The 22,676-nt window shown below is 46.0% G+C and overlaps 1 protein-coding gene across 31 annotated transcripts in view, besides 4 other annotated features; it reads left to right on the forward strand.

The window, feature by feature from the left end:
- Window positions 3,885–3,944: a silencer, noted in NCBI's record as "silent region_19132". NCBI's record gives its function as "represses an Ori minimal core promoter by ATAC-STARR-seq in GM12878 lymphoblastoid cells {active_cell/tissue: GM12878}" and the evidence as "EXISTENCE:reporter gene assay evidence [ECO:0000049][PMID:35858748]".
- Window positions 9,117–9,638: an enhancer, noted in NCBI's record as "H3K27ac-H3K4me1 hESC enhancer chr8:38577151-38577672 (GRCh37/hg19 assembly coordinates)". NCBI's record gives its function as "activates a minimal SCP1, AML or CMV promoter by ChIP-STARR-seq in primed H9 embryonic stem cells {active_cell/tissue: H9 hESC(primed)}" and the evidence as "EXISTENCE:reporter gene assay evidence [ECO:0000049][PMID:30033119]".
- Window positions 10,791–10,840: an enhancer, noted in NCBI's record as "active region_27255". NCBI's record gives its function as "activates an Ori minimal core promoter by ATAC-STARR-seq in GM12878 lymphoblastoid cells {active_cell/tissue: GM12878}" and the evidence as "EXISTENCE:reporter gene assay evidence [ECO:0000049][PMID:35858748]".
- Window positions 10,981–11,160: an enhancer, noted in NCBI's record as "active region_27256". NCBI's record gives its function as "activates an Ori minimal core promoter by ATAC-STARR-seq in GM12878 lymphoblastoid cells {active_cell/tissue: GM12878}" and the evidence as "EXISTENCE:reporter gene assay evidence [ECO:0000049][PMID:35858748]".
- The window catches only part of TACC1 (transforming acidic coiled-coil containing protein 1), a 124,447-nt gene continuing 119,836 nt past the window's right edge, over window positions 18,066–22,676 (forward strand). For 30 of the 31 annotated variants that reach the window (NR_148051.2, NR_148049.2, NR_148050.2 and 27 more), the window contains exon 1: window positions 18,066–18,155. The gene's annotated coding sequence lies outside the window, so the exon portion shown is untranslated. Of the gene's footprint in view, window positions 18,215–22,676 lie in introns of all 31 variants that reach the window. The other variant, NR_148047.2, reaches the window with a different exon arrangement.

The following is a 22,676-nucleotide window of genomic DNA, read 5'->3' on the forward strand; positions in this document are numbered from 1 at the left end:
GTAAGTTGTGCTTCCTACTTTAGAGGAATTTATGACCTTATGGTGGTACAAGACATAGAAGAAAAGTTAAATAACAATGTGCAGTATTATTTAACGAAGCACCATAGCTTTAGATATATGTTCAGGCTTGGGTTTACCGAAGGCCAGAATGGTCATGCGGCCTTATCGTATGATCTCAGCCCACATGTTCGTTAGTCTTGTGAGTTAGACTAGGGTGCAACTTCACGGACGGCAGGACCACATCTTTCTTGGCTTCTTTCGTATAAACTACAGTACTGAACACAGAGCCCAGGCGCATAGCAGAGGCTTCTACCGATTGATTCACTTACTGTCCAGGACAACTGGCTGGGTCAGTTCTCAGCACATAGCTTCTCTGGGAGATAGGAAGCTTTACTGAGCCTCTCCTCACTCCAGCATAACGTGGATCTAGTCTTACCATGTAAGTGTCCACGTTGTTGAAAAGTGATAGGCTTGCAATGGTTGGATTCCTGCTGGGTCTGCTTGGGGAGGTGATGGAGAATCTTGCAGCAGCTGATAAAACAGAGAAGCCTGGGCACCTGGGCAGGAGATTTTTCTACAGTGGTGGAGCAGCAATGGCCACTTCCGGCAAGTGGTTCTATTCCAAGATCCCAGGGCTCAGAGAGCAGGAATGTTTCCAGGAAGATGGGCCATTGCTTAAACAGAAGCCGGAGATTAACCACGTTTACACACTAGGTTAAAATATCTAACTCTTTGGTCCAATCACAGGGGTGTCAGCTGTTGGAAAACAACCTAGTCCTAACGACCACCTCTAGTTCAGGAGCATTGAGGTCAGAGCTCTGCCATCACCCTGCTGTTTTGCATCATGCATAACACCTGCCTTCTCTCAGGCCTCCTTGGAAATGCTCCCCACTATCTGCAGCTGAACCCCTAGTATAGAGACATGACCCTGGCCACTTCCAGAATGGATTTACAGTGTAGCCACAATAAAATAAGGTGGACTAGGCCGGGTGTGGTGGCTTACGCCTATAATCCCAGCACTTTGGGAGGCTGAGGTGGGTGGATCACCTGAGGTCAAGAGTTCGAGACCAGCCTGACCAACATGGTGAAACCCCATCTCTGCTAAAAATGCAAAAATTAGCCAGGCATGGTGGTGGGTGCCTGTAGTCCCAGCTACGTGGGAGGCTGAGGCAGGAGAATCGCTTGAACCCAGAAGGCAGAGGTTGCAGTGAGCTGAGATGGTGTTGCTGTACTCCAGCCTGGGCAACAAGAGCGAAACTCATTCTTAAATAAATAAATAAATAAAATAAGATGGACTAGAGGAACTAGGATTGGAGAGGGAACTACTTTTAAATCATAATATTCTACATGTGGTATACCCTGGTTTTTTTTTTTTTTTTTTTTTTTGAGACCCAGTCTTGCTCTGTCACCCAGGCTGGAGTGCAGTGGCATGATCTTGGCTCACTGCAGCCTTGATCTCCTGGGCTCAAGAGAGCCTCCCGCCTCAGCCCCACAAGTAGCTGGAACTATAGGCATGCACCACCATACCTGGCTATTTTTTTTTTTTTTTTTTAGAGATGTGGTTCCACCTTGTTGCCCAGGCTGGTCTCAAACTCCTGAGCTCAGGCAATCCTCCCGCCTCAACCTCCCCAAGTGCTGGGATTACAGAAGTGAGCCACCACGCCTGGACTACCCTGCCTTCTTTAGGTGGTCTTAGAAACTAAAAATATGTTTCTCACTTTTCTGACCTCAAATTAGTTTGAACCTCCTCCTACATCCTTTTTTATTTAACTCCCCATTTGTACAATCTGACCCTCTTCATGAAATGAGACACCGAGAGGCTGATTATCTCTTTCTCTCCTCTCTCTCTGCTTTAGGAGGCATGCTTTCTCTTTAAGCCCGACATCAAAGCAGTAGCTATGTTGTCCTCCGAATTCTCTGTGATGCTGTTTTCAGGAAGGCCTCCTGGGTAGGGTGGAGCCGGGCCTAACTTATCGTGGTGATGATTCCTGCTCTGGAGGGGCATCACTGGGTCAGGATACCTGGGCATATAAGCCATAGGCACTGGTGGTGGCTGGGAAGGGCAGCAAGTTCCCTAGACATGGGACTCTCGGGGCCAAGATGGCTCAAGAACACTGTGGGGGGTCCTGTCTGAATGTGAGAGTCCAGAGTGTCACCAGAGCAGCCAGGTGTGGGCTGCAGCACCGGGGCAATTGTGTTCATTCCTCATCGTGGGGCCTCTCATCCCACCCCAGGACAGGATAAAAGAGTGTCATGGAAGTTTTGCAACTTGGCTGGATGATTTGCTCACCGCATGTGGGCCACATTGTCCTGCCCCTCCTGGCAGATCTTTGGCTCTGGAAGTGGTGTGGCACTCACTCCCCATCGCTGGCTCACTGCAGGCCTTCCCTCCTGGCAGCTCTGCTCTGGGGCCTGCCTGCCCAGGCCTGATTAATGCAGCCCAGTTTCCTCCAAAGATGCCTTGGAGGTGGAGGTGGGGGGGCGCTCAGTGAAGTCATTCTCACAGCCTAATTGACTGATCATTTTTATTTCTCCTTTGCTGTGGACTTCCTGTTTATTGCTCCTTCCAGCTTATGTGAAGCCATTTGCAGCCACATGATGTTTTAAGATTCTCTTTATTCAGGGATAGTCAAGAGACAAAACTGGAGTCTGCCTGGAAAAACAAAAGAGGCAATAGTTCCAGAGCATTCAGGCTCTGATTCCTCCGTTGCGGGGGTGGCTGCCGACTGCTTTGCCCTGCGATGTGATGATTGCCAGTTATTAAGCCTGTCTGGTGGAGCGGGGAAGCCAAGTGAGGAAAACAACAATAAAAGGAAATAAATGGTTCTGAGGGACTGAGAACCGTGCAGACCAGAAAACACACACATACACACCAAAAGAAAACAAAACAAAAAAGCTCCTGCACTCTGTTAAGAGTTCATAGCCAGGAGGATAAACACCACTTAATTTGCAAACGATTACCATTTGGAGATGATAAAAAAATTAAATATCACTGGAAGAAAAGTTTACACAGAAATTGCCAGATCCTGTGCTGGGAACATTTGTGAATTCCTCCCCAGCCGCCTCCTGGACAACAGTTCACGGCTAGACTCCACGGCATCTATTCCATGGCTGGTTTGGTTTAGTGGCTCTCAAACCAGGCCAATGTTGTTACCTTCTCCTTCTACCTCCCCCAAACATTTGGCAATGTTTGTAGACATTTTCTGTTGTCACAACTGAGACGGGGAGTGACGACTGCTAGCAATTTGGTGTAGAGGCCAGGGATTCTGGACAGCCCCTCACAATGCACAGGACAGCCCCCCACAGCAACAAAAATTTCCAGTCCAAAATGTCAGGAGTGCCCAAATTGAGCAAGACTGGTAGGAAGGTATCCAAGGGCAGAAAGGAAAACACAGAGTTGAACTGGGCTTGAGTTCTAGCTTTCTCCTTGGAAGAAGTCGTGGTAAAGGCAGGAGGTCCACCCAGGAAGTTCCAGACTTCCTGGAAACACACTAGGCCAGTAAGGTCTATGGAACTGTATTCTTGTCTTGGTATGATCAGGATGTCTCCGTCTTCTAAAATCTAGGTGAAGTTGGCTGGGTGCAGTGGCTCACGCCTGTAATCCCAGCACTTTGGGAGGCTGAGCCAGGCGGATCACGAGGTCAGGAGATCGAGACCATCCTGGCTAATATGGTGAAACCCCGCCTCTACTAAAAATACAAAAAATTAGCTGGGCATGGTGGCACACACCTGTAGTCCCAGCTACTTGAGAGGCTGAGGCAGGAGAATCACTTGAACCCTGGAGGCGGAGGTTGCAGTGAGCTGAGATTGTGCCACGGCACTCCAGCCTGGGCAACAGAGCGAGATTCCATCTCAAAAAACAAAACAAAACAAACAAAAACAAAAAACTAGGTGAAGACATGGACGCCCATCACTAACCAGCTAGTGGTCCAAATGCGTCCGATGTCCATGTGTGTGCAGCCACTGCCCTCTAGGGGCAGAATTGTGTGCGGCCGCTCACCATGGGTGTGTGTTTTGAGGCTGCACCATAAACCCTCAAGGCTCCTTCTTCACTCTAGGGGTCTAGGGGAAAGAGTCCTAATTGTATGGTTAGCTTTAGCTCTACCATTTGCTCACAGTGGCAAACCTCGTAACTTCTCTGAGCCCCAGGCGTGCCCTTTGTTCTTCACAGGTCATGGGAATCTCACGAAAGCATGGATGAGGAGACACTGTGTATTAAACCATCACACAAATAAATGTCCATTGCTGAGGCACCTCTGGAATCTGATGGTCAGAGATGTCCAATCATTAACAAATAGGCATTGAGGGCTTATGCACATGACGAGGTCCATGGTGGGCAGAGAAAGGTGTGATTTTAGATGGTGTAAATTGCTATGAAAAGATCATATGGGACAAGGGGACACAGAATGGTTGGGGTGGTGCAGTATGGATGCCACATCAGTTATTCAGGGTGGCCAGAGAAGGCCTTTCTATAAGCAGGTACCCAGGAGGCATGAAAGAAGGAACTACCCTTGGAACAGGGCAATAGGGGCCCCTGTCCTGGGCCTGGGGATTTGGAGGACCCCAACCACTCTGATTATTTAACACGGTTCAGACTCCAGGGAAACGCTTCTCCACCACCTTGTCCTAATGCTGTCAAGGTTGTGGGTGGTGCTGGAGAGAATTTGTGTGGCGAAAGTGCTTAGGTGAGAGAAAGGACAAATTAACTAATTTGTTCAAACCTTTCTCAAAACAGCATCAGAGCACTAGATTATTGCATAAGGAAGAATTGTTTCCCAGAGTTCTGAGAATCTGTCTTTTTCTTCTCTTTGTGTTCTGGAGATGCTCATGGATTAAAGAGGTATTTAGGATGTTTACACATGATGGATGAGGAACATTTGCAATGTCAAGTAATTCGCATTTCTCTTAAATGTGTATGTATGTTGGTTTAGATGTAAGATGCTCAAAGCATACCAATTATTTACCTTGACAGCACTGAACACCAAAATTGAGAAACGTTTTCTCTTTTGTTTGTTTTGAGACAGGGTCTCCTTATGTTGCCCATGCTGGAGTGCAATGGCACAATCATGACTCACTGCAGCCTTGACCTCCTGGGCTCCAGTAATCCTCCTGCCTCAGCCTCCCCAGTAGCTGGGACCACAGGCATGCGCCACCACACCTAGTTACTTTTTAATTTTTTTGTGGAGACAGAGTCTCACTATGTTGCCCAGGCTGGTCTCAAACTTTTGGGCTCAAGTGATCCTCCGGCCTCGGCTTCCCAAAGTGCTAGGATTACAGGTGTGAGTCACCATGCTCAGCCTGAGAATTTTTTTAAAAAGTAAGAATATCTAATATAATTTAGCTAGATTTTCCAAAAGAATTTTTCAGCTTTATTTAAATAATTGTAATTTAAACTTTTCATATTCACTAATTAGAACACATATTTGTTTAATTATAAATAATGTTGAATACCTGAGAAAAATAACTTTTTTGAAATGATATATGAAAACTATTTTAATTTTCAAATATTTACTTTCAGTTATATTTTAATGATAATATATTTTAATTTTTTACACTTTGAGGACAATAACATTTTAAAAAATATTTTATATCATTCATCTCAATATAACACAATTATTTGAAAATGATTATATTAGTGATTACATCGAAATGAAACAAAAAATAAACTTTGTGGAATAAACATATAAGTCATAGATAATACATATGTCTCTATTTTTATTACTCATTCAAATATCACCAACCAATCAACAGAACAGTTAAATATGCACAGTAATAAATTTAATTTTCTTTTGTATTTTGCTAACTTGCAGTCATCAAAACCATGTGTTTACACATATTTTTCAATTTTGTCATTATGAAGGCATTTGACATGTTAAGAGGCTGGAACATGTTTTATGTGATAGGTTTTAGAGTGATCTATAACTTTTAAATACTTGGAGATATGGTTTATGGGTTTCCATTCCGGCCCTTGTTCCTGGACCCCACTAGTGTTAGAGGTTGGGGTGTGTATGAAGATCTGGAGAAAGAGGTAATAACACGTTCTAAGCCCTGAAAGAGCAAAATGCTTGGCTTGTGTGAGGGACAGAAAGGCCAGAGTGCCTGGGCCTTGGACAGAGGTTGAGAGGTAGGCAGGGGCCGTGCCAATGTGGTAAGGAGTTTGGATCTCACTGGACTAGCAATGGAAACTGATTGGAGGGTTTTCAACGGGAGATGATGGTCCTGTCTGCTCTCTAGAGAATGGTCTTTAGGGGAACAAGAGTAGATGCAAGAGAACAAGGGAGGGGGCTGTTGCATTCGCTCTGACATGATGACATGACTTTCACCTGAGTTTCAGCAGTGGCGGTGATGATATGCGGGCAGATAGGGGACATATTTGAAGGAAGAGAGGATTGAATTTGCTGACAGACTGCGTGTGAGAGGCGGGGAAAGGAGACAATGGTTTCCAGGTCTTTGGTGTGTGCAACTGAGTGGATGGTGGAGGGAACCCTAGAGAGAGAAGTGGGGAAGTACAGAATACCTTGTATTTGGAACGCAAGTCCTGCTTTTGTAGAAGTACATGTGTTACTGATAATGGCTAGAGGAGAAACTAACAAGGTAGGATCAATTTCACTTAAGTATCTTCCTCTCTCCCTATCAACAGCCTGCAGCGTCACTGGGGCTGATTACCCAGGTGCCACTAAGAGCCTGTCTCATCCCAGTTGCCTGTCAACAATCCCTGCAAGGTTTTGATGGGATAACTGAAGTATTACTTGCTAAATCCTTTCTAGCTTGAAATCCTAGGATTTTAAGGTAATGAAATGGGACCCAGAAAAATTTGAATTTTAAGAGAGGACTTTCTGAAGACAAAAAAGGAATCAAACTGCAAAGGTAGGAGGGTTTGCAGGACAATCTGCCAATTGACCACCACCCTGGCCACAGTATTGTTGTCCACAATCCTTGTCTTGGTGCACACTTCAATGCACATTCACGTACATGGCCTATTTTTAAAACTAGCAAGTTTGCTTAGATGTCATCGTGCATTCTGTGAACTCATAGCTCAATGCGCTCAAAATAAAATAACAGAATATCAGAACAAGAAAGAAGTTGTTCAGCGGCTCTGATTCTTTGTTGCCCTGATAAGGGAAGTGAGGGTTCTGACATGTGACCCTCAATGATCACACAGCTGGCTGGTGACAGACGTGGGCCGGATCCCAGGCTTTGAGACTTTCTGCCTGGTGTGCTTCCCACAAACACAGCCTCTGCACCAGGGATGAGTAATAGGTTGTGCAGGGCGAGGACCTGACATTAAAATAAGTCTCAGATTTCTTCTTGCAACGGCTGCAGATTTATGTCATTTTCTGCAATGTAGAATATGGTCATATTCCCAAGAGCTCAGAGCTCTTTCATAAATATAATAATATTGATCTCCACCGTCATTCATGTAATCATCCAACATTTATTGAGTGCCTCCTTTGTGGACAAGCCCAGTGATGCTGAAGACGTAAAGAACAGGGTGTGCCCCCAAGGAGCTCCCACTGCCTGTTTGTGGTGGGCAGGGTGGAGACACTGACATTGATGACCCCTACGCAGTGTGTGTGGTGCTATGACGGAAGTGTGCATAGGATCCCACAGGATGGCCCAGCACTGACAGAAAGGAAGGGTAGGGAAGGCATCTGGAGTCGTTGAGCCCTGGGCTCTGCAGAAGGACTACCGGGAATTAAACAGGAGAGAAGGAGCGGTTCTAGGACAAGGGAACAGCATGTGCAAAGGCAAAGAAGGCAGCAGAGTTGGACACATTCGAAGAACTGCAAGAACTTGGATCTGCCTGGAGCATGGAGAGACAGGAAGAGAAAAGCCATAAAAGGGATGGTGAAGTGGGTGGGGCCAGGAGTTGTGATCTCCATTATACTGGTGGTGCATCTAAAGCAGACATCAAATTGGCAGCAGGTGAATTTCCCAGGCCTTCATGCTATTTACTCCAGAGAGTCAAGAAATGCCCAGGTGAGAGCTGCATTCAAGTCCCACCTTCTGCCTCCATCAGCCATGTCTCCCCAAGGGCAGAAGTTTTAAACAGGTGAAATCTTCAGAGTGAAAATCAAGGATATGATTAAAAGTTTAGGGATGGTGGAAAAGACAGCTATGGACTGAGTCTACGAGTGGGTTTTTCCTCTTCCCTTTAGCAGCACCTGCTGTAGCCTCCTCCTCCTACTCTTCCTCCTCCTTCTCCTTCTTCTTCTGTTTTGAGACAGGGTCTCAGTCTGTATCCCAGGCTGGAGTGCAGTGCCGCAATCATGACTTAGTGCAGCCTTGACCTCCTGGGCTCAAGCAATGCTCCTACCTCAGCCTCTGAGTAGCTGGGACTACAGGCACCCGCCACCACACCCACCTAATTTTTAATTTTTTTTTTGTAGAAAGGAGTCTCACTACGTTGCCCAGGCTGGTCAGCAACTTTCGGCCTCAAGCCATCCTCCTGGCTAATTTTTAAAATTTTTTTGTAGAGACAAGGTCTCGTCGTGTTGTCCAGGCTGGTCTCAAGCTCCTGAGCTCAAGTGATCCTCTCCTCTTGGCCTCCCAAAGTGCTGAGTAATTTGCAGAGCCCAAGACAATCCCCGAGTCTACCCGGGGATGGCACAGGGTCAGCAGGAGACAATAAGCTTATTAATCACAGAGTATCTGGCACATATTAAGTAGGTGCTTAATATGTATGTATCAAATGAATGAATGATGTGAGTGTATCAACAGAGATTCTTTGTTTTTCCCCCGGGATTTCTCTGATTTGCCAGGACTCCAAGTCTGATTGGCTTGGGTAGGAGGAAGAAGAGTCCTTGGGGCCGCCCAGGTGCTTCAGGCAAGGTGTCTCCCTTCATCCTTATAAAACCCTTTACGCCCTTCCGGTGTGTGCAACCGAATGGATGGTGGAGGGAACCCTAAAGAGAGAAATGAAAAAGTACATAATATCTTGTATTTGGAATGGAAGTCCTCCTTTTGTAGAAGTATGTGTGTTATTGATAATGGCTAGGGGAGAAACAAGATAAGATCAATTTCACTAAAGTACCTTCGTCCCTCCTCCCTCCCTTCTTTCCTCCCTCCTCCCTCCCTTTACAGTCAGTAGTTCAGATTTACAATCTCTTACCCTAGAGCCGGGTGTACTTCGGGATTCTGGATTTTCTCAGGTTTTAGGAAGGTAATGAGAGGTGACAGCGTGCTGGCAGTCCTCACAGCCCTCGCTCGCTCTCGGCGCCTCCTCTGCCTGGGCTCCCACTTTGGCCGCACTTGAGGAGCCCTTCAGCCTGCCACTGCACTGTGGGAGCCCCTTTCTGGGCTGGCCAAGGCCGGAGCCGGCTCCCTCAGCTTGCGGGGAGGTGTGGAGGGAGAGGCGCGGGCGGGAACCGGGGCTGCGCGCGGTGCTTCCGGGCCAGCGCGAGTTCCGGGTGGGCATGGGCTTGGCGGGCCCCACCGGCCCCGGGCAGTGAGGGGCTTAGCACCTGGGCCAGCAGCTGCTGGGCTCAATTTCTCGCCGGGCCTTAGCTGCCTTCCCGCGGGGCAGGGCTCGGGACCTGCAGCCCGCCATGCCTGAGCCTCCCCCGCCTCTGTGGGCTCCTTTGCGGCCCTAGCCTCCCCGACGAGCGCCGCCCCCTGCTCCACGGCGCCCAGTCCCACCGACCACCCAAGGGCTGAGGAGTGCAGGCGCACGGCGTGGGACTGGCAGGCAGCTCCACCTGCAGCCCCGGTGCCCGATCCACTGGGTGAAGCCAGCTGGGCTCCTGAGTTTGGTGGGGACGTGGAGAACCTTTATGTCTAGCTAAGGGATTGTAAATACACCAATCTGCACTCTGTATCTAGCTCAAGGTTTGTAAACACACCAATCAGCACCCTGTGTCTATCTAGCTCAGGGTTTGTGAATGCACCAATGGACACTCTATATCTAGCTACTCTGGTGGGGACTTGGAGAACCTTTGTGTCCACACTGTATCTAGCTAATCTGGTGGGGAGGTGGAGAACCTCTGTGTCTAGCTCAGGGATTGTAAACGCACCAATCAGCACCCTGTCAAAACAGACCACTCTGCTCTCTGTAAAATGGACCAATCAGCAGGATGTGGGTGGGGCCAGATAAGAGAATAAAAGCAGGCTGCTGGAGCCAACAGTGGCACCCTGCTGGGGTCCCCTTCAACACTATGGAAGCTTTGTTCTTTTGCTCCTTGCAATAAATCTTGCTGCTGCTCACTCTTTGGGTCCACACTGCCTTTATGAGCTGTAAGACTCACCGTGAAGGTCTGCGGCTTCACTCCTGAAGCCAGCGAGACCACGAACCCACCGGGAGGAACGAACAGCTCCAGACGCGCCGCCTTAAGAGCTGTAACACTCACCACGAAGGTCTGCAGCTTCACTACTGATCCAGCGAGACCACAAACCCACCAGAAGGAAGAAACTCCGAACACATCCAAACATCAGAACAAACAAACTCCGGACACGCTGCCTTTAAGAACTGTAACACTCACCGCAAGGGTCCCCGACTTCATTCTTGAAGTCAGTGAGACCAAGAACCCACCAATTCCGCACACAGTGACACAACCCAATATACCTTTTATTATATCAAACCCCGAGTGGGCTAGGGGAGCACCTTGTAATCAAACATATAAACCCTTTCTGCAGCGAAATGTAAGAATATTCAAGCTAAGTAGGATAGTACGTAACTTCAGGTCAGTTGAGGTCAGGTTTTGCTGCCCCACAGTTACGAAATGCTTGTGGTTTCCAGAGTGGGGAAGTTTGGAAATGTGGATAAGGGATCGCGGACCTACAAAACCATCACCTTTTGGATGAGGTAACTGAGATTCAAAGAGGTGAAGTAATGTGCCCAAGGTCACTCTACTGGGCGGAGGAGTCCAGGTTAGGACACGGCGGTGTTGGGTTGCAAGATCCATGCGCTCTCTACTGCATAATTCTGGCCTGCTTCCTGCTGTCCGGTACAAAAAGGAGTAAATGGCAGTCCCTCCGGTGCTCAGCGGCAATGGCAATCAGACCAAGTTTGCAAAGAAGAGTTTTCTTTCTGGAACAGCAATGCCTCCACCTACTGGACATATGTGAGAATATCACCTGACTCCCCCAGAAAACGGAGTTTATTGTCCTGGTAATGGACTCTTAAAGGAGGGCAACGGAATTGTCTTTCTGCGACTCTGCAAATGACATTTCAGGAGCCAGGAAGTGGTTACTAAATTGCTGTTACATAACTATCCTTCAAAATAATAACAACAACAAAACAACAATAATAACGTTGGAACCGTCAATGAGATTTGTTTGTTTGCTTGCTTGCTTTCTCTACTGGACTCAGCTCCTGCACCTTGAAATGTACCGGGAATAAAGTAAGAGGTTGGGACAGGCGAGGTGGCTCATGCCTGTAATCACAGCACTTTGGGAGGCCAAGGCTGGAGGCTTGCTTGAGCGCAGGAGTTCAAGACCAGCTAGGGCAATATAGGGAGACCCCCGTCTCTACAAAAATAATTTTTTAAAAAATTTCTTTTAAAAATTTTCTCTTTCATCCAATTGCCAGAAATTCTATTGTTAAATGCCAATTTTACCATTCTCAGCATCTCCGAACATCCATTCTCAAACATGGCACTCTCCAAACCTTTCAGGAGCTCCTTATTGGCCACAGACACCTGCTGCTCCAGCAGATTTGCCACGTCGTATACCTCTGCCCTAGATGGGCCGTTATCATACCGCTATATCCTATTATAGTGCCCAGAACCGCCTATGAGATCTGTTTGGTTAGTTGCTTTCTCTACTGGAGTCTTAGCTCCTGCACCTTGCAATGTACCTGGAATAAAGCAAGAGTTTGGGTTGGCCACGGTGGCTCATGCCTGTAATCTCAGCACTTTGGGAGGTCAAGGCCGGCAGATCGCTTGAGCCCAGGAGTTCAAGACCAGTTTGGACAACTTAGGGAGAACCCCGTTTCTACAAAAATAATTTTTTAAAAAATTAGCTGGGCATAGTGGCATGCGCCTCTGGTCCCAGCTACTCTGAAGGCTGAGGCAGGAGGATTATTTGAGCCCAGGAGGCCAAGGCTGCCATAAGCCATGCTCACATCACTGCCTTTCAACTTGGGTGACAGGGCAAGATCCTGTCTCAAAAAACAAAAAACAAAACAAAACAGAAAACCAGAAACCAAACAACAAAGAGTTTAGTCTTTTTTGAGGAAGGAAAAATGAGAGTGAATTTATTTCATAAAATTACAAAAATAAAAAATTTTTACATTAATTAAATGCAAATATAGTCATCATTGCCTTCTAAATTTCAGTGTGATTACACATTTAAAATCCTTTCTTGAATATGTATTTTGGTAGAAGGCAGGATGAAGAGAACTCGGGGATACACACATTGCCAGAGAAGGGAGATCTTCAATAAATGTAATAACCACAATATACAGGATACTGTGTTCATATAAGAGATGGTTCTTTCCTTCAATCTCCCACATCATCTCTTCTTTTCTCAGACAGTGCCTTGAATTTCTCAAAAATACCTTATTCTTTCCTTCCTTCTTTTCTTTTCTTTTCCTTTCTCTTCTTTTCTTTTCTCTTTTTTTGAGACTGAGTCTTGCTCTGTCGCCTGGGCTGGAGTGCCCTTAGAATGAATTAGCCAAGGAAACAAAAAAGTATACATGGAATGTGACACTTTGGAAGCTGGAGTGGTTACAAGATAAGTGGATAGTTATTTTTTCAGGTATGTGTTTTGTTTCTACAACAGTTCTCTATTTAGATATCATTCACACACAATAAATTCACCCATTTAGAACATGCAGTTCAACAATTTTTAGTATATTCACAAAATTGTGCAACCATTGCTGCAATCAATTTTAGAAAAAAATTTTTTTTTTTTTGAGACCCAGTCTTGCTCTGTTGCCCATGCTGGAGTGCAGTGGCTTGATCTCCTCGGCTCACTGCAACCTCTACCTCCCAGGCTCAAAAGATTCTTCTGCCTCAGCCTCCCAAGTAGCTGGGATTACAGGTGTGCCCACAACGCCCAGCTAATTTTTGTTTTTATAGTGGAGATGGAGTTTCGCCATTTGGCTAGGCTGGTCTTGAACTTCTGGCCTCAAGTGATCCACCTGCCTTGGCCTCCCAAAGTGCTGGGATTACAGGTGTGAGCCACTGCATCTGGCCTAGAACATTTTTATCATGCCAAAAAGAAAGCCTGTATCCTTTAGCTGTCAACCCCCAAGCCCTCTGCTCCCCACGCCCCCAGGTGCTGGCAACCACTACTTTCCATCTCTGTAGATTTACCCATTCTGGACATTTCATAAAAATTGATCATATAATATGTGGTGTTTTGTGACTGGCTTCTTTCACTTAGCATAATGGTGTCCAGGTTCATCTATGTTGTAGCATATATCAGTACTTCATCTCTTTGTGTGGCCAAATAATATTCTATTGTGTGGATATACCACATTTTGTTCATTCATCAGTTGATGGACATTTGGGTTGTTTTCGGAAGCAGCTGTTATGAATAATGCTGCTATAAGCATTCGTGTACAGGTTTATGTGTGGACATTTGTTCACATCTCTCGAGTATAGACCTAGAAGGGGAAATGTTGAGTTAAATGAGATGGGTATTTTTAAGCCAGGCGAAGTGGCTCACTCCTGTAATCCCAGCCCTTTGGGAGGCCAAGGCAGGCAGATCACTTGAGGTCAGGAGTTCGAGACCAGCCTGGCCAACATGGTGAAACCCCATCTCTACTAAAATACAAAACTTAGCTGGGCATAGTCACCTGCGTCTGTAGTCCTAGCTGGGAGGCTGAGGCAGGAGAATTGCTTGAACTTGGGAGGTGGAGGTTGCAGTGAGCCAAGATTACACCACTGCACTCCAGCCCAGGCGACAGAGCAAGACTCAGTCTCAAAAAAAAAAAAGAAAAGAAGGAAGGAAAGAAAGAGGTATTTTTATCTCATCTCCCTTCTAGATTACAAACATCCCTAGGGCAGGGTTTGAGTCATTCCTCTCCTGGCCCGGTGCTATGCACATCGACATTCATTAAATATTTATTGACTAGGACGAATCAATGGATGACATTTTCAATTTTAACATATAACATGGTAGGGAGTTGCAGGACTAGAGAGGCATCATGAATACAATAAATCTTTTTTTACAAAAGCAAAAAAGAACAATCTTAACACTGACAAGTAAAACTGCAAAATATATATCTCAGAACCTCAGCTCCTCTTCTGTAAAATGAGAGCAACAATACTTTATAGTGCTGTTGTATGAAAAATTGTGTTCTATCTGAGAAGGCCTCAAAGAGACGTGGCACACATAGTAAGCACTCAATCAATACTTTGTAGCCAGTTCAATTCAATACGGTCCCTCATCCACAAACCAATCCAGCATTTGGCCTTTTGTGAAATATTGTTTAGCTTTCACCTTGAAAAGCCTGGGTTTTCATCTCACCTTCAGCTCTGTCTTTTGCTGTTCAACAAGAGATTTTTATACTTGTGTCTATATTCATGATATCAAAGCAAGTAGTTTAATAATTGAAAAAGAGGTGACTGATCTAGTGAATCTTGCTCTCCAGGTAAAAATTAGAAGTGACAGCCAGGCGCGGTGGCTCATGCCTGTAATCTCAGCACTTTGGGAGGCTGAGGTGGGTGGCTCACAAGGTCAGGAGATCAAGACCATCCCGGCTAACATGGTGAAACCCCATCTCTACTAAAAATACAAAAAGATTCACGGCTATAATCCCAGCACTTTGGGAGGCCGAGGCAGGCGGATCACAAGGTCAGGAGATCCAGACCATCCTGGCTAACACGGTGAAACCCTGTCTCTACTAAAAATACAAAAAAGTAGCCGGGCATGGTGGCAGGTGTCTGTAGTCCCAGCTACTCGGGAGGCTGAGGCAGGAGAATGGCGTGAACCCAGGAAGCGGAGTTTGCAGTGAGCCGAGATTGCACCACCGCACTCCAGCCTGGGGGACACAGCGAGATTCCGTCTCAAAAATAAAAATAAAAATAAATAAATAAAAATACAAGAAGATTAGCCAGGCATGGTGGCAGGCGCCTGTAGTCCCAGCCACTTGGGAGGCTGAGGTAGTAGAATGGCGTGAACCCAGGAGGTGGAGCTTGAAGTGAACACAGATCATGCCACTGCACTCCAGCCTGGGCAACAGAGCGAGACTCCGTCTCAAAAAAATAATAATACTAATAAATAAAAAATAAAATAAAATAAATTTAAAAAAAGAATTAGAAGTGCCATCCCACTAACTCTGCTAGGCAACACCCCGATATCTCTGGTCAGATGTGTTCATGAGGCTACATAGTCTTCAAGTCTGTGGAATTAGACTTCTGCCCTTAAGTGGGGGCATAATAAATCTTTTTAAAACTTAGTTTGCCTATTGTTTAGATATCAAATAGACTCAATCTGTCTACCTCTTTTCAGAGTCTGGTTCTTGAGATCATATGTTTATTTTAATATTATGTTTAAATATGTTAGACTATAAAATAGACATCTAACTACATACTTTTAATGTTGGGTTAAACTTTGTTGATTAGGATTATCTCCACACTACACTGAGTTTGAAATGATAGAATATCTAAATTTCAGAGTATAAATGCATTTCAATTACTTTCAAGTTTAGGTACAAAACTCAAGCCAGAACAGAAAAATATCACCTAGGGTCAGTCTCACTTCACTGACTAGATAAAAATCATGTGTAATCAGTACATCAACTCAACAATCTAGAAATTGCTAGCTTTAGTCTCTTATGTGTACAGTATAATTTTTGTAAATGAAGGATACTCCTAAAACATTTGAAACTTTCTAACCTGATGAATTGGCAAATTTTTTTTCTTTTCTTTCTTTCTTTCTTTCTTTTTTTTTGAGATGGGGTCTTGCTCTGCTGCCCAGGCTAGAGTGCCATGGTACAATCATGGCTCATTGCAGCCTCGATCTCCCAGCCTCAAGTGATCCTCCTGCCTCAGCCTGCCAAGTAGCTGCAGGTACAGGCACCACCACACTGGCTAATTTATTTTATTTTATTTTTGTAGAGACAGGGCTTCCCTAGGTTGCTCAGGCTTGTCCTGAACTCCTGAACTCAAGTGATCCTCCTGCCTTGGCCTCTGAAAGTGCTGGGATTACAGACATGAACCACTGCACCTGGCCTAACAAACTATTTTTTCTTACAATCTTACTCGCACTATGAATGTGCAAGTAATGATAATAATAGTAATAATAACAATAGCTGGTAAAAGATTGCAGTGCAGGCCAGGTGCTGTGGCTCATGCCTGTAATCCCAGCACTTTGGGAGGCCAAGGTGGGCAGATCACCTGAGGTCAGGAGTTCGAAACCAACCTGGCCAACATGGCTTCTTTTAATGCATAGAACAGAGGAGATGTTCTCATTTCCTGTTTGTGAACAAATTCCCAATTAACACTATGAAAACTACTGAGTTTTGTTGCAGGGGTCAACGAGTACCCTAAAGGTTCCCAATTTGTGGTAGCATTTGACAATTCACAGACATGCTACTCCCTGGGCAGTTACCAACAACTGAATCTTATGATCAGCCTCTCAGCCCTGTGTACTTCCACCCAATCACCTCCACAAATCACAACCAGGGGTCTTTCAGGCCTATCCCTGGGGTGCGGGGTGGGGGCAGGGAGCAGAGGAGATGGAGTTTGTAATTTGAAATGGGACCCCATTTGAAAAAAGTAGCCAATTCTTGTGTGACCATTATAGAAAGACCTAGAACTAAGAGAGAGCCTTGAAGACCTGAATCATTACCTGTTACTCCTCTTTACCACACAGGATGCACACTGTGCTGTGGGGAACACGATCACACAGACAAGGCTGAGTGAGGCAGCACCCTACCGCCCACAGTTTAAGAACAAGAACACCTGCATTGCGATTTTTCTTTTCTTTTTTTTTTGAGAGGGAGTTTTGCTCTGTCGCCCAGGCTGGAGTGCAGTGGCGTGATCAAGGTTCACTGCAACCTCCGCCTCTAGGGTTCAAGAGATTCTTGTGCCTCAGCCTCCCGAGTAGCTGGGATTACAGATGTCCACCACCACACCTGGCTAATTTTTGTATTTTTAATAGAGATGGGGTTTCGCCATGTTGGCCAGGCTGGTTTTGAACTCCTGACTTCAGGTGATCTGCCCACCTTGGCCTCCCAAAGTGCTGGGATTACAGGAGTGAGCCACAGCACCCGGCCTGCACTGCAATCTTTCACCAGCTATTGTTATTATTACTATTATTATCATTAGAGACAGGATCTCACTCTGTTGCCCAGGCTGGATTGCCGTGGCTCAATCATAGCTCACTGCAACCTCCAACTCCTGGGCTCAAGTATTTGGGACTACAGACACAAGCTACTGTGCCAGGCTAGTTTTTAAATTTTGTGTAGAGACAGGGTCTCACTATGTTGCCCAGGCTGGTCTCAACCTCCTGAGCTCAAGCAATTCTCCTGCCTCAGCCTTCCAAAGTGCGGGGATTATGGGCACAAACCACTATGCCCAGTCCAACCAGCTATTATTACTATTTTTTAATTAGAAGGAAAAAAAAAAAAACAAAAAACAGAGGGATGTGGGTGTGTATGTTTCTTGGAATCCAAGCGATCAGGGGGAAAAAATCCGTCAAAAATGTTCTCAGTACAAAAGTTGGCAAAACAGCTCTCTTTTTTAAACTGAACTTTGTAATAGGAGAAATACTCTCACAAGGACAGGATGTTTCTGAGCCAAGTTGAAGCAAAAGAAACTTTTTCCAGCATGTCAGGAACGAAGCTGACGTTCCATTAAGAAAAAAAAAAAAAAAAAAAGAAGTGCTAGAGGAAGGAGTAAGAGGTGAAAAGGCACCAGAATTCAGACGGAGCTTTAAATTCCAGACAGGGCCAGCGTTGGGAGCACGTAGGAGGCGCCCCTCGGAAAGGAGCCGGAGACCCAGCTGACTTCGCACTTGAGCTCCAGCCCCGTGGACATTTCCTGTTCTGCCTCTGGAAATTCAAGCTGAAAGTTACAAAACATCCTTTTCCCTGGAACCAAGTGCTTGGTTGGGAGACCATGCCCTCCCCTTCCTTCCTCGGAACTCCTCCCTGATCGCCCCGTGGCTTCCCCAGGAGAGATGCGAAATCAGCGGTAGCAGGTGGCGCAGAAGGGAGAGGGGAGCGACCCTGGGGACCGACTCTGGGGACCCTCGCCGAAGAGGTAGGAAACGGGGGACTGCACGTTCCTGAGGCCACTTCACACTTATTGAGCAAAACGAGGTGCTGTCCTTTAAGCCTGGGGCTGAGGTGTTTCCCTCGCTTGGGTATGCGCCGGGTGGTGGGTGGACTGGCCTCGAATCTGGAATAAGTTCAGGCATTCCTTTTCCCTCTCTCTTTCCAAGTTGAACTTTAATTCTTGGGTCTCTGGAACCACGTATTTTGTTTGGTGTGGGAGGTATTAAATGGCAGAATTCTAGGAAGTAAATATTGTGAATCCCTGATTTTGCTCTTTTCTTTATTTTCTTTTCTCTTTCCTTTTCTTTTCTTTTCCCTTTGCTTCTCTCTTCTCTTCTTTTTTCTTTCCGCCCCTGAAATGCCCAGGAGCAGTCATAAATACCTTCATCTGGGAATAGATTCGGGGAGAAGTGAGAAGGGGACAGGGCTGGGAAAAGCATTCTCACCACGGTGAACGGGGCGCGGCTGTTTTCCGGGACCTGGGCCATGTATTCTTCTGGCCCAGATGCTCTCTCCGTCCCTTCCTTCTGCCCACTGCCATAGGGACAACTACCTTGAGTTGTTTCTCCGGGTGCAGGGATGTGGCACAGACCCTGGTCAGGGCCCTTGAGCATCAGTGCCCTGCGTTTATGGACAGAACTCAGGTGCTGTCTTAAACGTTTCTGTCTGGGGCAGAGCTAACTGGTCTACCCAGGAGCCTGCGTGTAGTCCTTGGCTTCGTGAGGGACACCCGGCAGTCGGTCTCTGGAAGGCCAGCCTTGGCAATACATGTGCTGACACTGGACCTGCTCAGAGAACTCAGCATGGCTTCTGCATAAGGAGTACTCAGCTGGGTTCACATTTATTGTATACATTTGTTTCTCTTAGAAAATGGCTTTTGAACTTAAAAAACGTCTTGTGTGGCCGGGCGCGGTGGCTCACACCTGTAATCCCAGCACTTTGGAAGGCCGAGGCGGGCAGATCACTTGAGGTCAGGAGTTCGAGACTAGCCTGGCCAATATGGTGGAACCCTATCTCTACTAAAAATATAAAAATTAGCTGGGCGTGGTGGCAGGTACCTGTAATCCCAGCTACTCAGGAGGCTGAGGCAGGAGAATTACTTGAACCCGGGAGGTGGAGGTTATAGTGAGCTGAGATCACGCCACTGCACTTTAGTCTGGGCAACCGAGCAAGACTGTCTCAAAAAAGAAAAGAAAAAGAAAAGAAAACATCTTATGATCTAAGGACATCCTTGCTCCTTGGAAGGGATGCAGGTCCCCTTTGTGGAGTTCAGCGTGGAGCCTGGGGGCACCAGGGACCTCCTCTTCCCACTTCCAACAAAGTAGCTCCATCCTTACCTGACTTTTATGTCGAGGTTCCCAGTTAAAAGCATGCTTTTGAAACAATTTGCAGAACTGCTGACCTGCAGCAAGCAGTGCTTTGCCTAGACTGAAAATGACTGCTTATGGAACAAAGTTGATTGACGGAGGGATTTCTAGCTTGCCCCTGTCTAGGCTCTTACTCCGTCCTCCCATCCGCCTCCTTGAATGATCGCCTTCTGCCCTAGGGAACCCGCTGGAGGTGGGAGTGCCAACAAGGCTCAGCGAGCCAGCTGTTCCATCTCAGGCACCTGACCTCTCGTGCAGGGACAGACAAGGGGCAGAGCCCCGGAGAGCTGACATTACAACTCGGCCTCTCTCTCCAAGTCTTTTCTGAATTTGTCCTTCTAATTGTGCTCACGGTTATGAACTACATGATCAATAATTGTAACAGCTAATTATTGATCTTCCTTTATGATAACAGATTACTTATTGAGCCAGGCATGGGGCTGAGCACATTACACAGATGAGCTCATGGAATACTCAGCCCTATAAGGTAGCTTTTGGCATGACCCCCACTCTGCTGTGTGGAGCGGAAAGGAAGAGCCACTGAGTGACTGGCTTGAGGGCACCCTGCCACTTAGTGGTGAAGGTGGGGCTGGGGCCCCCTCCCCCTGAGTCTGAGCCATACTGCCTTGAATATTTTTGCAGCCCTGTTTGACAGAAGTAAGAAGGACATTGTTGTGAGTGTGGCTTTTTCGTATTTTGTCGAAGAATGCCCCTGAGAATAGGCTGGGAGGAGCAGGGTCACGGGGCCAGGACGGAATGTTCTGTGGGAAGGAAGAGTGCTCCTAAGAATAAGTGGAGTTAGAATTCTTGTCCAAACTGTATCCCTGATAAACATCACTTTTTCTCTGAGAGGTGGTATAGTTTTTGTTTGTTTGTTTTATTTTTTAGATACAGGGTCTTGCTGTGTCATCCAGGCTGGAGTGCAGTGGTACAGTCCTAGTTCTAGCTCACTGCAGCCTCAACCTCCTGGGCTCAAGTGATCCTCCCACCTGAGCCTCCCCAGGAGCTGAAACTACAGGCATGCACCACTATGCCTGGCTATTTTTTTAAATTTTTTAATTTTTGTGTAGAGATGGGGGTCTCCCTATGTTGCCCAGGCTGGTCTTGAACTCCTGGTCTCAAGCGATCCTCCTGCCTCAGCTGCCCAAAGTGTCAGGATTACAGGCGTGAGCCACTGTGCCCTACCGAGGTGGTAAGGTTCAATGGGAAAGTGCCAGGCTCTGTAGCCAGAGTGCCTGGGTTCACATCTCAGCTCTGTCACATTTTAGCTTGGTCATCTTGGGCAAATTACACAAACCTGTGTGCCTCAGTTTCTTCAAAATAATATCCTCTGGAGAAGGATGATAATAACAGTACCTATTTCACAAAGATATCATGAAGATAAGATTAGTTAATCCACATGAAGCATTTAGAATTGCATCTGGCATATGATAAACACTCAATAAATATGTTATGTGTAAAAGAGGTTGTTGTGTTAACCCAAGGAAAAGTAGTTTGGGAGCAGTCTGGAAATATGAAGTCACTGGTGTTTGAAACTATAAAATGCACACCAACAAATGCAATGTAATTTCAATTTGAGCTGGGGAGAGGAGGATTGTGCTTGGACCCCAGCTAGGAAGGAACCTGGGAGACAGCCTAGGACCTTCAGGGAAGAGCTTAGCTGTTCTCCCAGAGATAAAACTGAAAACAACAACAACAACAACAACAACAACAACAAAACTAGTCTTTAGGGTTGGCATTGCCAAATTACATCCTTGCATTAAATGAAGTAAGTGTAGGCTGGGTGTGGTGGCTCATGCCTATAATCCCAGCACTTTGGGAGGCCAAGGCAGACAGATAACTTGAGGCCAGGAGTTTGAGACCAGCCTGGCCAACATGGTGAAACTCCATCTCTACTAAAAATGCAGAAATTAGCTGGGTGTGGTGCCAGGTGCCTGTAATCTCAGCTACTCCAGAGGCTGAGGCAGGAGAATTGCTTAAGCCCAGGAGGCAGAGGTTGCAGTGAGCCAAGATTGTACCACTGCACTCCAGCCTGGGTGACAGAGCGAGACTCTGTCTCAAAATAACAACAACAAAGAAAAGAAAGAAAAGAAAAGAAAAGAAGAAAGGAAGGAAGGAAGGAAGGAAGGAAGAGGGAAAGGAAAGGAAAGGAAAGGAAAAGAAAATGGTATAAGTGTAATTTATTTACCTTTGTAGTTGTGGAAATGAGTCCCACCTCTGACCTAATGTTATATAAAGCAAAAATATGTTTTTTTCTTGTTTTTTTTTTCAATGCCATCTGCTGAACCACTTGTATTTTTGGAAGGATGACTTTAGGATTTCAAACTGAGATATGAAATTTAAGAGCTAAATATAGCTGATTTAAAACAACAACAACAACAAAAAAAAACCCAGGAGATCAAGACTTACAAAAGAATTGTGTGGCTTTTTCAAAGAACAAATTTGTGAGCTCAGCCTGAGTCTGGATTACATGTATAATGATCTTGAAACTAGTTTGCCAACTTTTACTTGAAGTAGAAGTAGATGAGAAATAAATCAATGGCTGACATTGACTGAGCACTTACTATGACCCAGGCATTGTGCTAAGTGCTTCCCCTGCGTCACCTCATTTGTTTAATCCTCATGGCCGCCTGTCAGGTGAATACTATTATTATCCCCGGTTTGCAAATAGCGATAGCAAGGTTTAGAGAAGGAGACAAAATGCACAAAAGCAGACAGCTCGTAAGCATTGGAGTTGGCATTCTAATTTAGGGCTATCTAATTTGGGTATGAGTGCTTAAACCCAACATTATAGTTCTAGTGAATCTAATAATTCCTGGCTTAAGCCATTTGTGTCTGTTTGAAGAGTACTGTACATAGAAGCTGATGGACAAGAGTCATAACTCTTGCAACATGGGCACAGCGCTAGTGTGGGCAAAACACACTTAGACATTTTGGAGAGCAGAGTTTGGAAGACTCGGCACCGGACAGGAGATGCACGGCATAATTGCATCTGAGCAAGGAGACTGTTCCAGGCAGCTCCAGGTGTAGGTAAAATCGTGAAGCAAGTTGCCTTCTTCACCTTTCTCTCTGCTCTCCTAGAGGCTTCCCTGCTCATCCCAGGCCACTCAAGATATCAGGGATATCTTTTTCTTTTTTCC

The sequence above is a fragment of the Homo sapiens genome, chromosome 8 (genome assembly GCF_000001405.40).
Source record: "Homo sapiens chromosome 8, GRCh38.p14 Primary Assembly".
Classification (NCBI taxonomy): domain Eukaryota; kingdom Metazoa; phylum Chordata; class Mammalia; order Primates; family Hominidae; genus Homo; species Homo sapiens.